The sequence below is a fragment of the Homo sapiens genome, chromosome 1 (genome assembly GCF_000001405.40).
Source record: "Homo sapiens chromosome 1, GRCh38.p14 Primary Assembly".
In the NCBI taxonomy this organism is placed as follows: domain Eukaryota; kingdom Metazoa; phylum Chordata; class Mammalia; order Primates; family Hominidae; genus Homo; species Homo sapiens.
The window spans coordinates 119,816,846-119,832,296 of record NC_000001.11 but is presented as its reverse complement, the minus strand read 5'-3'; the positions used below and the strand labels follow the sequence as shown (position 1 = coordinate 119,832,296).

The window sequence follows — 15,451 nt, the reverse complement described above, 5'->3', positions numbered from 1 at the left end:
TATGAAATGTGTGTATACATACATATATGTATAAGGCATGTACATGCATGTGTGTGTGTATGTGTGTGTGTGTGTGTGTGTATATATATATATATATATATATATATATATATATACACACACACATTTGGACATATGATTATGGAGGCCGCAATTCCCAAGATGGAAAGCTGGATACCCAGGAAAGTGTTTCCTTCTTATTAGGCCCTTTCCTTCTCCTCTGGCCTTTGGTTGATTGGATGAGGCCCACCACATTAGGGAGGACAATCTGCTTCACTTAGTCTGTCTATTCCAGTGTTAATATCATCCAGAAACACCCTCCAGCACACACCCAGAATAATATTGGAACAAATGTCCTGGCACACTGGGACTCGGTCACAGTGACACACACAATTAACCATTATACAGGTCCTTCATCATATGTGGGATTTTCATATTTTTCTCCCAGTTTGTAGCATATGTTTTTATTCTATTAACAATGTCTTGTGCTGACCAAGGATTTTTAATTTTTATGAAGTTAAATATATCAATGTTTTCTTTAATAGTTTGTGTTGATATAACTAAGAATACTTCGTGCCTAACTCTACATCATGAAAAATTTCTGTTTTCTACTGTAAGTTTACTAGAGTTTCAATTTACATTTAGTTCTATAATCAATTTTGAGTTAGTTTTAGTGCAAGTATGGATGTTTAAGTGGATTTTTTTCTTTGTTTATTGTTTTTTACTTCCACTTTTATTTTAAGTTCAGGGGTACATGTGCTGGATGTGCAGGTTTGCCACATAGGTAAATGTGTGCCATGGTGGTTTGCTGCACAGATCATCTCATCACCTAGGTATCAAGCCCAGCATCCATTAGTTACTCTTCCTGATGCTCTCCCTCCTCCCACTTCCCACCCTCCGACAGGGCCAAGTGTGTGTTGTCTCCACCCCAACCCTATCTGTCCTTGTGTTCTTATCATTCAGCTCCCACTTACAAGCGAGAATATGCAGGGTTTTGTTTTCTGTTCCTGTGTTAGTTTGCTGAGGATAATGGCTTCCAACTCCCTCCATGTCCCTGCAAAGGACATGATCTTATTCCTTTTTATGGCTGCATAGTATTCCATGTGTATATATTCCACATTTTCTTTATCTAATCTATCATTAATGGGCATTTAGGTTGATTCCATATCTTTGCCGCAGTGAACATATGCATGCATATATCTTTATAACAGCATAATTTATATTCCTTTGGATATATACCCAGTAATGGGATTGCTGGGTCAAATGGTATTTCTGCCTCTAGGTCTTAAAGGAATCACTACACTGTCTTCCACAATGGTTGACAGTTACACTCCCACCAACAGTGTAAAAGCATTCTTTTTTCTCCACAACCTCGCCAGCATCTGTGAATTTTTTTCTATTTTTGCCTATGGATGTCTAGTTTTCGCAACACAATTTGTTGACAAGACTATGCTTTCTCTCCTGAATTGTTTTGAACCATTGTCCATCCTTTGGAGGGATGAGACTAGAGAGAGGACTGTCCTGATCATTGGAGGAACAGGGCCTGAAGTAGTGCAGGTCTTATGGAAAAGAAAAGGAACACATATTTTTTCAATGAGGCAGAGGAAAGCCCCAAGCACAAGTGGGGGACTCCCTACCCCCATGTGTGGCACATTTGCCTCTGCTCTGCCTCTCCTGCTGCAAAAGCTTGGGTGTGCATAGACACTGAGGCCGAGTTGTGCCACTGGGCACATTTGGGCATTGACATCAAATGTGTGACATCAAATCCCAGTATATCAAACAGGCAAAGTGGCAGGAAAACAGGAGACATAATGAAGAATGAAATAATTCAGTTGAAAACGACACACATGTTAGAAATAGCAGGCAATAACATTAGAGCAGTTATTATAATTTTAATTAAATGAAGATGTGGGAGATATTTTTAAAATATCAAATTCCATAAGTGAAAACTACATTTTACTGTCTGAAATTTTAAAAAATGCACTGGATTGAACATTGCAGAGGAAAAGATTAATGAATTAAAGGAAACAGCAATAGCAATGAACACAAATGAAACACACAGGAAAAAATGAATTTAAGAAATAAAAAGCCCATCAGTGGGAAAATTTTAAACACTCTACTAAATGGAATCCCTGAAGGGAATGGAGTGGATAAGGGCGATAGAAAAATATTTAAAACATACTGGATGAAAGCTTTCAAAGCTTCATGAAAACCATAAACTCCAAATAACCCAGAAACGTAATGTATTCTAATATCCCAAAGTCTGTGCTCTTTTCAGAAAAGGAAGTTTAGCATAAAGCACTAAACCAGGAGTCAACATATTGTATTTCCAGCTGTTGTTCCAACAGCTGTATTATAAAGGGCCAGTTCATTTCATGCATTTTTAATTTGATCTAAAGTGCCAGGTGGCATTGGGGCTGGCACAGCCTTGCTCAATTATGTGTTGAAGAGTAAACAGAGACTGCTAGGCTGAGGGAAGATGCAAAAGAATAGAAGAGATGCTCACAGGGAGCAAGACAACACACGGCCCCAGAGTCAGAGGCAGCATTAGTCACTGTCGGCTGCTCGTTTTCCCAGAGTCCGCAAGCCTCAGCTATGCTTTGCTTCTGCAAGAGGCCTCTTCACCTTTTCAATAAACCTGCCTGAATTTAAGGTGATGGGGGTTTATTTCTCCTTCATTATAAATGAAATTCTTCACCACAACAATCCCCAGTGAATTGTGGGCACAGAAGGCAGGCCCATCCCTGCTTCTGTTCCACTATCTCCCCTGTAGGACAAAAAGGAGGAGGTACTGACTTACCTCCAAATGCTCCTCTGGCTCTGATATCCTGTTATTCTAGTTTCTTTTCAGCTACTTTGTTTTTGGAAGCATGTATCCTAAGGCGTCCAGTTGAACAACCTTTGTCTACTGTGTCCAGGCATTCCTGGTGGTATTTCAGATAAGACACTCTTGGGTTGCTGCACTCACAACCACTGAACCAATTCTATGACCATCTGTTTCATGGCCACATGTTTGCTCATTTTATATGTACACAAAGGGAGGAGACAGTCAGCAAACTTGCATGTTATAAATTGTATCATCTTAGAAAGGAAACAAGGCAAGACTTTGCAATAAAACCTTAAGATTCATTAATTTTAATCCTAATGCAATAAAGAATGCTCATAAAATTCTTATCTAAAGAATGTTTAGAAAACCAAGGGACATCATCATTTAAAGTGATATGAAGAAAACTTCTCAGCTAAGCATATGGGCTAGATTAGACAGAAAAATAAAGAACCCATCTCTGCCCTGGAAAAACTACTGGTAGCATCTTTCAGAAAGCTCTCTGTGTTCGAGTATGCACCTTGATCCATAGGCTCACATTTGATCCCAACTGGCGGCTGCTTCTTGGCATTATCATTGGATTCCCAACTAGTAAATCTTACCAAGATCTGAGTTTCTGCAGATATGATATTATTTTGTTTGACCATCTTCAAGGACTACCAAGAAGGAACAAATAATTTATTTACCTGCTTTATGGAAGAAAGGTTTCACCAATGAGATACTTTCTTACCATGACTCCAGGGCCCCCTGTGCCATTAACATTTCAGTACTCTGTGTGGCCTGACAGGAGCTGATGCTGGTCAAAGATTCCTTATATGATTAACCTCCTTCCTGAATCCCAACTTCATGGTGGTGGTGATGCCAGGTGTTCCTGTATCCCATGCTCATGTCCCTGAAGTCATCAGCCATGTCTCCAGTTGGAAAAATTTACGTATATGTAGACAGGCCTCTTTGGAAGTAGGAAAAGCTTTCTCCCCTCTCATATATTAATGGTTGGAATGTACAATAGTATAAACACTTTGGGGGGGAAAAGTCTGGCAGAGTCTTATAGAACTAAACAGTTACCCACTGTATGACTCAGTAATTCTTAAGTATTTATCCAAGAAAAATTAAAACGTATGTCCACAAAATGATTTACACGAGAATGTTTATAGCACTTTTATTTGTAATAGCAAAAACTAGAAACATTGAAGTATCTGTCAACATGAGAATGGAGCGATTAATTGTGATACATTCATTCCATGGAATGGCTAAAGGAACAAACTGTTGACACACAAAACAACATTGATGAATCTCAAAAATATTTTATTGAGTGCAAAAGGAGCCATATGCAAAAGAGTACCTATTCTTTAATCACACTGATAGAAGTTCTGGTGGGAAAAAGTCCCCACAGAACAGTAGTTGCCTATGGATGGAATCAAAATTGATGGTGAAGGGGCACAAGGAACTTTTTAGGGTGATGAGAATGTTCCATATCTTCACATGCATTTGTCAAAATTCATCTAATATTCACTTATGATTTGAGTATTTAATTGTATATAAATTTTACCTCAAAAGGAAAAAAGCTGTAGATAAATATTGCACTTTAGTAAAGGATGTGAATGCTGAAGGATTCAGTGGGAAGTGTACTGATGTCTGCAGTTTACCTTGAAATGCATCAAAAAACTAAGATGAATGAATGGTTGGATTGGGAGATGGGTAAATGTATAGATATGTGATAAAGCAAAGATAGTAAATGTTAATGATAGAATGTAGGAGACAGATATACAGGTAAAAACACCCACCTTTGTAAAAGTCTTTCAATTTTGCTTTATGTTCAAAAATTTAAATAAGGAAATACTTCAAGCCTTTGGAGACCCCACAAGGAGGGAAATTACCATCCACATAATCTGTCAACTATATTATGACCATGTTCATTAGAATACCAATTTCTTGCCCAAAATAAAGTCATTCTTTGTCATCAACTTGAAGAGAAACTGTCAAAGCCAGTCCAGGAGTAGCCAGTGCCATGGCCAGAGGGACTCTCAGGGGACTTGGTCTCCCCATGCCTGAGGGTGGAGCTGAGTATCAGCATCGATAGCTTGTTCCCCTTCTCAGTGGAGCATCACAAATCTTGTTTCCTAGTTTTTACATGAAATTGCTCTAGCCACACAGTCTACTAACTGAAAAGATGGCTCCTGACTGCTTCCAACCTGTTCTTGCAGAAGACATGGATTTGCCTCTATTACCCAAGCTGACCACTAGGGGATAAAATCTTCCTCCAAATGGCTGGGAGTCTCTAGGGGAGAAAGCCCCAAAAGGGATTCTAGCCCAGCTAGTTCATAAACCCATTGATTCTCACCATGTTTCCCTCATGTATTCAGTAACCATACATTGAGCCTTTATTATATGCTGGGCACTGTGGTAGATGCTGAAACAGACCAATGAGCCTCTGCTATCATCAAGGTCACAATGTCAGCTTTGCTGCACCCTGTAGTTGATCCTTAGTGCCACATCCTCACACGGGAACTTCCTCAGTTTCCACTTTCTGGCTCTGGTGCTTCCAGATGGCTTGTCAATGTTAGTCAGGGCCAAGATTGCTGAAACAACTGAGAGACACCCTGGGACCCATCACCAACAGTTCCCACTCCCAGAGCAAACCACACCCATTGCTCTCACTTGAAATCATGAGCCCCAAGGCCTGTCTTTCAGTACGTAGGACTGCATGATATGAACTCCAATGCCCCACCACGTTGTGGAGGACCTGAATCAAACATGGCCCTCTCATTCCCCTAATGTCAGTACCAGGGCCTCAAGGCTCCCTCGGCCAGAAAGCATGAAGTCCACTTATTTGTTGACTTTTTAAATTTTTATAAATCTTTGAAAGCATAGAAAAAAAGAAACTCATATGAATTCATAGTATCACCCTCAAAATAAATTCTTCATATTCACTTTCTATTTTTAAAAGAAAATGTATCGATTGTTTATGTGAAGGATGAGACATCTTCTGAAATTCAAAATTAAAAAGCCTGAGAGCATTTAAGGATGTGAATAATTTTCAGAACTGAAGGTAAATAATAATTTTCTTCCTGTCTTTCTTGTTTTTCTTAAAGAGATTGGAAACCTGAGCAAACCAAAAATCGAGGGAGGTAGAAAGTACTGGAGACCTACAGTTGGCCTTGAGCCTTGGCTTAGTAACATCTGTGCTTTCAAGCATAAACCCTGTGCATGAAAATTTATATCCCACCTAATGTGAGTACTTTGGTTAGAATATTGGGAGTAAATGATATTCTCCTCTTTATTCCCAGCTTGTATGTGTCACAGGAACAACTGGGGTACTTCAGGAAGTGCCTACTTTTTAATTTTTATTTTTTGAGATGGGGTTTCACCCTGTCCCCCAGGCTGGAGTGCAGTGGCATGATCTCGGCTCACTGCAACCTCCACCTACCAGGTTCAAGCGCTTCTCCTGCCTCAGCCTCCAGGGTAGCTGGTATTACAGGCGTGCACCACCTCGCATGGCTAATTTTTTTGTATTTTTAGTACAGACAGGGTTTCACCATGTTGGTCAGGCGGTCTTGAACTCTTGACCTCATGATCTGCCTGCCTTGGCCTCCCATGTGTCCACTTTTTAAAAATGATATTAAGAGCTTAATAAAGCTCTTACTATGTGTCAAGCACTATACTAAACTCTTTGCATTCATTATCTCATTTAATATTCACAACTTCCCTATGGCAGATGTGTAATTAATATCTGATTTTATTAGAAGGAAAATAGAGGATTCTTGAGGCTATGTACCCCAAAGCCCCCCAGCTAATAAGCAGCAGAACCCCGTGAGAACCTGAGTCTCTGATGCCAAAGCCCAGGCACTGACAACCGTACTCATCTGCTTTCCTCTAAATCCATTATTTGAGTTAGAAATGAAGCCAGAAATCACCCACTCCAACCCCTTTGTTTTAAAGATGAGAAAACTGAGGCCTTGTAAGGCATACTGATTCCCCCACAAAAGACTTATCTTCTAGAGAAGAACTGGGACATTTTCTTTGAGTAGCTATTTTTTTTTCTTTTATTGTGGTAATATACAAATAACATAAAATATATCATCTTAACCATTTTTTTTTTTGAGACAGTCTCGCTCTGTTGCCTAGGCTGGAGTGCAGTGGCACCATGTCCACTCGCTGCAAGCTTCACCTCCCGGGTTCATGCCATCTCCTGCCTCATCCTCCCGAGTAGCTGGGACTACAGGCGCCTGCCACCATGCCCGGCTAATGTTTTGTATTTTTAGTAGAGACGGGGTTTCACCGTGTTAGCCAGGATGGTCTTGATCTCCTGACCTTATGATCCACCTACCTCCGCCTCCCAAAGTGCTGGGATTACAGGCGTGAGCCACCGTGCCTGGCCCATCTTAACCATTTTTAAGTGTATAGTTCAGTGGTATTAAATACATTCATAAAGTGCAACCATTACCAGTGTCTTTCTCTGTAACACTTTTTATCTTGTAAAACTGAAACACTGCACCCAGTAAACAATAACTCCCCCTGCCTACCTCCTCAAGCTCCTGACAATCACTACTCTACTGTCTGCTTCTGTAATTTTGATTGCTCTAAGTGCTTCATAGAAGTGGAATCATACAGTTTTCGCCTTATTGTGACTGACTTATTTTTAAGAATAATGCCTTCAAAGATCATCCCTGTTGTGCCATATTGCAGGATTTCATTTCCTTTTAAGGCTGAATAATATTCCATTGCATGGATATACCACATTTTGCTTATCCATTCATCTGCTGATGGACACTTAAGTTGCTTATATGTTTTAGTTATTGTGAATAATGCTGCTATGAACATGGGTGTACAAATATATCTTCAAGACCCTGCTTTCAATTCTTTAGGGTATATACCCAGAAGTAGAATTGCTGGATCATATAGTAATTCTATTTCTAGCTTTTTAAGGAATAGCCATACTGTTTTTCACAACATCTGTACCATTTTACATTCCTACCAACAGCACACAGGGGTTCGAATTTCTCCACATCCTCACCAACACTGGTTATTTTCTGTTTTATTGATAGTTGCCATTCTAATGGATGTGAGGTGTTATCTAATTACGGTGTTGATGTGCATTTCCCTAATGTTTAGTGATGTTGAACATCTTTTCATATGCTTATTGGCCATTAGTATATCTTCTCTGGAGAAATTTCTATTCACCTCTTTTGCCCATTTTTGAATCAGATTTTTTTTTTGAAATTGATAGATAAATTGGTATATATTTTCCACATAGAATGTGATGTTTTGAAGTACATACACACTGTGAAATGACTAAATCTAACAACATATGCATTACCTCACCTGGTTATATTTTAGTGATGGGAACACTTTATACCCCCCTTTTTAGAATTTTTCAAGAATGTAATATATTATGAGCTATAGTCACTGTGTTGTACAATAGATCTCTTGAACTTATTTCCCAACTAAAATTTTGTATCCTTTGAGCAACATCCCCCCAATCACCACCCTCTACAAAGAGCTCCACCCCTGGGAACCACCTTTTTATTCTCTATTTCAATGAGACCAACTATTTTAGATTCCACATATGAGTGGGATCATACAGTATTTGTATTTCTGTGCATGGCTTATTTCGCTTAATATTCTCGAGGTTCATTCATGTTGTCATAAATGCTAGAATTTCCTTCTTTTTTATGGCTGGATAGTATTCCATTGTGTATTTATAGTACATTTTCTTTATCCATTCATCTACTGATGAACACTTACGTTGATTCAATGTCTTGTGGCTGTTGTGAATAGTGCTGCAATGAACATGGGAGTGCAGACTGCTATTGTCACTTCAACATGGGTTGTGTTTTGTTGCTGACTTTTAAAAATTCTCTCTATATTCTGGATATTATTCCTTTATCAGATACATGATTTGCAAATATTTTCTCCCATTCTTTGGGTTGCCTTTTTGCTATGTTGATAGTTGGGCAGTTTTTAGTCCCTTACTTTGTGTTAAGTTATAGCACAAAAAATAAATTTCTCACTTTTTGAATTAAGACAAAAAGTATTAAAACACTAACAATGCCAGATTAACAATTACTAACAATTACTGAGGATGTGGAGCACTTGGAACTCTCAAGCATTGCTGGTGGGAATGTAAAATGATTCAAAAGCCCTGAAAGACAGCTTGTCAGTTTCTAATAAGCTTAAATATACACCTATCACATGACACAAAAATCCCACTCCTTGCATGAAGTTAAAACACATGTCCACCAAAAGGCTTGTATAAGAATATTCATACCCCAAGGACCTCCATGAGATAAAGCCAGGAATGGCTTCCCTGTGCTCAAGCTGAGGACCAGGAGTGCCTACACAGCTCTTCTTGCTGCTGCTTCTACTTTTATATTTAGTTTGGCTCCATAAATCCATTTCAGCTATAGATTTCAGACACAGGGTGGTGGGGCCAAGACGGCTGAATAGAAGTAGCAGTGATCAGAGACTCCCATCAAAAAACCCATAATAACCGTGTGAATCCTTCACTGGCAACCAAGGTATCCAGGTTCTCTCATCAGAATTGACTAGAAGGCTGGCATGACTCACAGAGAGAAAGAGTAGTGTGGTGGATGGCCCACTTGAGAGCCACACGGGAAAGGGAAACCCTCTCCACCAAGCCAAGGGAGGTGGTGAGTGAACGTGCTACCCAGCTGGGGAAACTGTGCTTTTTCCACAGAACTGGGCAACCCACAGATTGGAAGATCCCTCTCAAAAACCCACACCACTGGGGCCTTGCGTCCCAACTCCAGAATGTGCAGATTCTTATGGCCCCTCAGCTGGAATCTGCTTAAGTGTACTGAACTCCCAGGGAGAGGGGTGACCAGCACCTGCTGCAGCTGCCTGCTGTCTAAGCCGTTTGAGCTCTTTGGGGAAGGGGAAGCAGCCAGCACTGGGACTAGCAACTGCCTAACATGCTAAGCTCCCTGGGCAGGGGAAGGGCAGCACCCATTTCTATAGCTCCAGGCTGGGCTTTTCCCCTGCTGGAGCCAGGGAGGCTGGACAGCTTGGTCCCAAGACTTGTCCCCACAGCCCAACCGGCTGTGGCAGTCTGTGGCCAGAGTGCCTCTTCAGGCCTAAACCTGACCCATCCTTCCTCATTGGGTGGGGCTTCCATGCACGATCTCCAATAACTCCAACCAGAGGCTCAGGGACAGAATTCGGATCTCCCTGGGCCTGAGCCCCTAGCGGGAGGGGTGGACGCAGTCTCTGCAGACCAGCAGACTTGCCTCTCCTCCTGGTAGTTCTGAGGAATCCAGGCAGCCCAGACAAGTGGGATTCCCTGCAGCAAAGCACACCCTCTCCACCAAAGGACAAAGTGCTTTGTTAAAGGGGTCTTGCTCCCCATGCCACCCAACTGGGTGAGACCTTCTAACAAGGGATGTCAGACATCCTATGCAGGAACGATCCTAGTAGCATCAGGTTGGTGCCCCTCGAGGTCAGAGGTCCCAGAAGAAGGAGCAAGCACCCATCTTTGCTGTTCTCCAGGCTCCTTGAGTGACATCCCTAGGCATGGGAGAAAAACAGATGAATATGGCCTGAAGTGAACCCTTAGCAAACTGCAGATGCCCTACAGAAGAGGGACCTGACTATTGAAAGATAAGTCAGCTTCACCCCTGGGATGCAAGGCTGGCTCAACATATGCAAATCAATAAACACAATCCATCACACAAACAGAACCAAAGACAAAAACCACATGATTATCTCAATAAATGCATAAAAGGCGTTTAATAAAATTCAACACCCCTTCATGTTAAAAACTCTCAATAAACTAGGTATTGATGGAACATATCTCAAAATAATAAGAGCTATTATGACAAACCCATAGCCAATATCATAATGAATAAGCAAAAGCTGGAAGCATTCCTTTTGAAAAGCGGTACAAGACAAGGATACCCTCTTTCACCACTCCTACTCAACATAGTATTAGAAGTTCTGGCCAGGGAAATCAGGCAAGAGAAAGAAATAAAGGGTATTCAGATAGGAAGAGAGGACTTCAAGTTGTCTCTGTTCACAGATGATATGATTTTTTATTTAGAAAACCCCATCAGCTCAGCCCAAAAACTTCTTGAACTGATAAGCAACTTCAGCAAAGTCTCAGGATACAAAATCAATGTGCAAAAATCACAACCATTCCTTTACACCAACAATAGGCAAGCAGAGAGCCAAGTCATGAATGAACTCCCATTCACAATTGCTACAAAGAGAATAAAATACCTAGGAATACAGCTAACAAGGGATGTGAAGGACCTCTTCAAGGGGAACTACAAACCACTGCTGAAGGAAATAAGAGAGAACACAAACAAATGGAAAAACATTCCATCCTCATGGATAGGAAGAATCAGTATCATGAAAATGGCCATACTGCCCAAAGTAATTTATAGATTCAGTGCTATTCCCATCAAAGTACTATTGACATTCTTCATAGAATTAGAAAAAACTATTTTAAATTTAATATGGAATCAAAGAAGACCCTGTATAGCCAAGACAATCCTAAGCAAAAAGAACAAAGCTGGAGGCATCGCGCTACCAGACTTCAAACTATACTACAAGGCTACAGTAACCAAAACACACAGAAAGGGCAACAACACACACCAGGGGCTGTTGGGGGATAGGAGTAGAGGGGAGGGAACTTAGAGGACAGGTCAATAGGTGCAGCAAACCACCATGGCACATGTATACCTATGGAACAAACCCGCATGTTCGGCACATGCGTCCCTTTTTTTTTTTTAAGAAGAAATAAAGAAAAAAAAGAATATTCATAGAAACTTTAGGCCAAAACCAGAAATAGCCAAAATGCCCGTCAACCAAGAATGAATAATAATAATAATAATAATAATAATAATAATAATAATAATAATAATAAATAACCTGTGCCACATTCATATAATGAAATAGTACTTAGCAATATAAAAAAATCCAAACTATTAATACCGGCAACAATGTAGATGAATTACAGAGGCATTATGTTGAGTGAAAAAATCCAGATATGAAAGAGTATGTATTATATGATTTCATTCATATGAAATTGACAAAAAGGCAAAATTAATCTATGGTGAAAGAAGTAAGAATAGTTGTATCATTGGTGGGAAGACTGACTGGGAAAGGGCAGGAGGAATTTTCCAAGGTGATGAAACTGTTCTCTATCTTGATCTGAATTAATGTTACACAAGTGTATAGATATGTCAAAATCCTTCTAGTTTAATATTTAAGATGTGTGCATTTTATTCTATATAAATTAAACCAAATAAAATAATGCTATCACAAAAATCTTCATAAAATACAAAATGAAACAAGGAATTTGGTAATAAAGGAATCTGTATTTTCACCTAGTCATTTAGAGGAGGTGATATGGTAAAACACAACAGATAAGAAACAAGTGGATACATAATAGAAAGAAAATGACTTAAAGGACCAGGGGAGAAGAAAGGAAGACAGGGAGAAAGAGAAGAAGAAGGGAGGGAGGGGGAAATTTTGAAGCCATCAGAATCCAAAGTGAAATAAAAAGAAAGATGAGAGAAAGCAAATAACCAAAAATCACAGGCTAAAGATAGACAAATGGGATCTAATTAAACTAAAGAGCTTCTGCACAGCAAAAGAAACTACCATCAGAGTGAACAGGCGACCTACAGAATGGGAGAAAATTTTTGCAATCTGCCCATCTGACAGAGGGCTAATATCCAGAATCTACAAAGAACTCAAACAAATTAACAATAAAAAAACAAACAACCCCATCAAAAAGTGGGCAAAGGATATGAACAGACACTTCTCAAAAGAAGACATCTATGCAGCCAACAGACACATGAAAAAATGCTCATCATCACTGGTCATCAGAGAAATGCAAATCAAAACCACAATGAGATACCATCTCATGCCAGTTAGAATGGCAATCATTAAAAAGTCAGGAAACAACAGACGCTGGAGAGGATGTGGAGAAATAGGAACACTTTTACACTGTTGGTGGGACTGTAAACTAGTTCAACCATTGTGGAAGTCAGTGTGGTGATTCCTCAGGGATTTAGAACTAGAAATACCATTTGACCCAGCCATCCCATTACTGGGTATATACCCAGAGGATTATAAATCATGCTGCTATAAAGACACATGCACACGCATGTTTATTGTAGCACTATTCACAATAGCAAAGACTTGGAACCAACCCAAATGTCCAACAATGATAGACTGGATTAAGAAAATGTGGCACATATACACCATGGAATACTATTCAGCCATAAGAAATGATGAGTTCATGTCCTTTGTAGGGACATGGATGAAGCTGGAAACCATCATTCTCAGCAAACTATTGCAAGGACAAAAAACCAAACACTGCATGTTCTCACTCGTAGGTGGGAATTGAACAGTGAGAACACATGGACACAGGAAGGGGAACATCACACACTGGGGCCTGTCATGGGGTGGGGGAAGAGGGGAGGGATAGCATTAGGAGATATACCTAATGTTAAATGACGAGTTAATGGGTGCAGCACACCAACATGGCACATGTATACATATGTAACAAACCTGCACGTTGTGCACATGTACCCTAAAACTTAAAGTATAATTTAAAAAAAAAAGGATGAGTTCATGTCCTTTGTAGGGACATAGATGAAGCTGGAAACCATCATTCCCAGCAAGCTATCACAAGGACAGAAAACCGAACACCGTATGTTCTCACTTATAGGTGGGAATTGAACAATGAGATCACTTGGACACAGGGCGGGGAACATCACACACCTGTCAGGAGGTAGGGGATTGGGGGAGGCATAGCATTAGGAGAAATATCTAATGTAAATGATGAGTTGATGGGTGCAGCAAACCCACATGGCACATGTACACCTATGTAACAAACCTGCATGTTGTGCACATGTACCCTAGAACTTAAAGTATAATTTAAAAAAAAAAGAAAAGAAAAAAAATCACAGGCCATGGTCTTCTGGTTAAATAGCTTTTTCCAAGCCAGAAGAGGTACAGACAAGTTCTCAAATAATCCTGGTCATTAAAGATGCTTACAGATATCTAATCCAGCTTTATGGCAACCGAATGAAGTCAGCAAACAGGCAGGCTTCCTGTACATTTAGTGCTGGAGAGCAGCCCTCCTTGAACTCAGGCTAAATAATCTTCAGGGACTCACAAAGCCCAAGGCTACAGACCAGGTGAGCCCTGAGGACATGCTGTGGAAGCCCATAAGGCAGGAGGATGAGATTTTGAGAGCTTGGTGATTGAAAAGCAAGGAACAGAGATACACCATAGAGAATGTGAACCTGGCAGGCGTTTAAGAAACCATCTAGTCCAACTCCCTTATTTTAATGATAAAGAAATGAGAAACCAAAGTCATGGGTCATTTTGCTCAATGACATAAATAATCCCTTGTGTGTTTATAGCACTTCTGAGTTTTCAGAGCACTTTACAGTTTTCAACAATTTTCACATAGATTATCATAACTGGTCTTCCCAGCAGCCTAGTGAGGTGGCTGGAAAAGGGATTATTTCATGTATTTATTTGTTTGGCTAATTACAAAATAAAACATGCTAGTGAGCATTTTCAAACAACACAAAATTCCATAAAAAGTCAAAGTTCTTCTCTTTTTCCACTCCCATCTCATTCCCCAAGAATAATCACAGATCAGTGTGATTTGCATATTTTTCTATGCATACAAATTAATACACCCGTGAATACTTATACAGCTTATTTTTTTTACAAAAATGAAATTGTGGTCTACATATAATACTGTGCTTTTTAATAAACACAACACTTTGAAATTCTAATAGAAAAATAAGAGCAAAGCAACCCAAAATCTCCACTCTTACAAGGCCTCAGTGAACATAGCAGAATTTAGAACGCTTACAATTTACAAAAGAGTAAACAAAAATTTAGTTTAATATTAGACAGACATGTTTTTAAAAGCCCTTTGGAACACATTGCAGTGCTTTACTACTCTGCTGTCTCCTTTCTCTCCCTCTCTTCACCTTTTTTCCTGCTCCCCTCCATTAAATTTCAAGTTTATTGCTAAAAAGCAGAACAATTTAAGTACGTTTTACTGCCTTGCATTTTCCTAATCAATATTCTTAGGGTCTCACTTTCCACCCCAATTTACTTACCAAGGTATTTTCCCTATCAAAGACAATTCCCCTAAAAAAGAATTATAGTGCCTGCTATTATAATAGCCTTTTACACCTCTACATATGCATCTGTAAAATGTATATAAATTATTGAGATAAAAAGCTCAACCTAGTCTGTGAAAATCTTTAGAAGAAAATATAGAGTAAAGAAACTAACATGTATTGTGGGCCTATTATGTGTCAAGTGCTATCCTGGGGATTTCAATACACTGAGATTTGTCTAGTGAGCACTTATTAAACACAACTGAAGTGTCAGACATATAGACAAATATGAAAAGTCACATCTCTGTTCTTGAGAAAAGATACCTTATTGAGGACATTAGGCCCATAAGCAAATAATTTCCACACACTGTGGGAAATGTTATAGAGGAGGGGGCTGGTTTAGGACAGGAATCATGAAGGAAATTAAGTTTGAGTTGAAAACCTTAAGAGATGAAAGCTTTTTATTTTACATCTTGGTAGTGGAACTTCCATTGTGCCTCTTGGGCAA

General features: G+C 39.6%; 1 annotated feature.

Moving 5' to 3' along the window:
* Positions 825-1,025: a silencer, noted in NCBI's record as "peak397 fragment used in MPRA reporter construct". NCBI's record gives its function as "represses an SCP1 promoter by STARR-seq MPRAs in K562 erythroleukemia cells {active_cell/tissue: K562}" and the evidence as "EXISTENCE:reporter gene assay evidence [ECO:0000049][PMID:32103011]".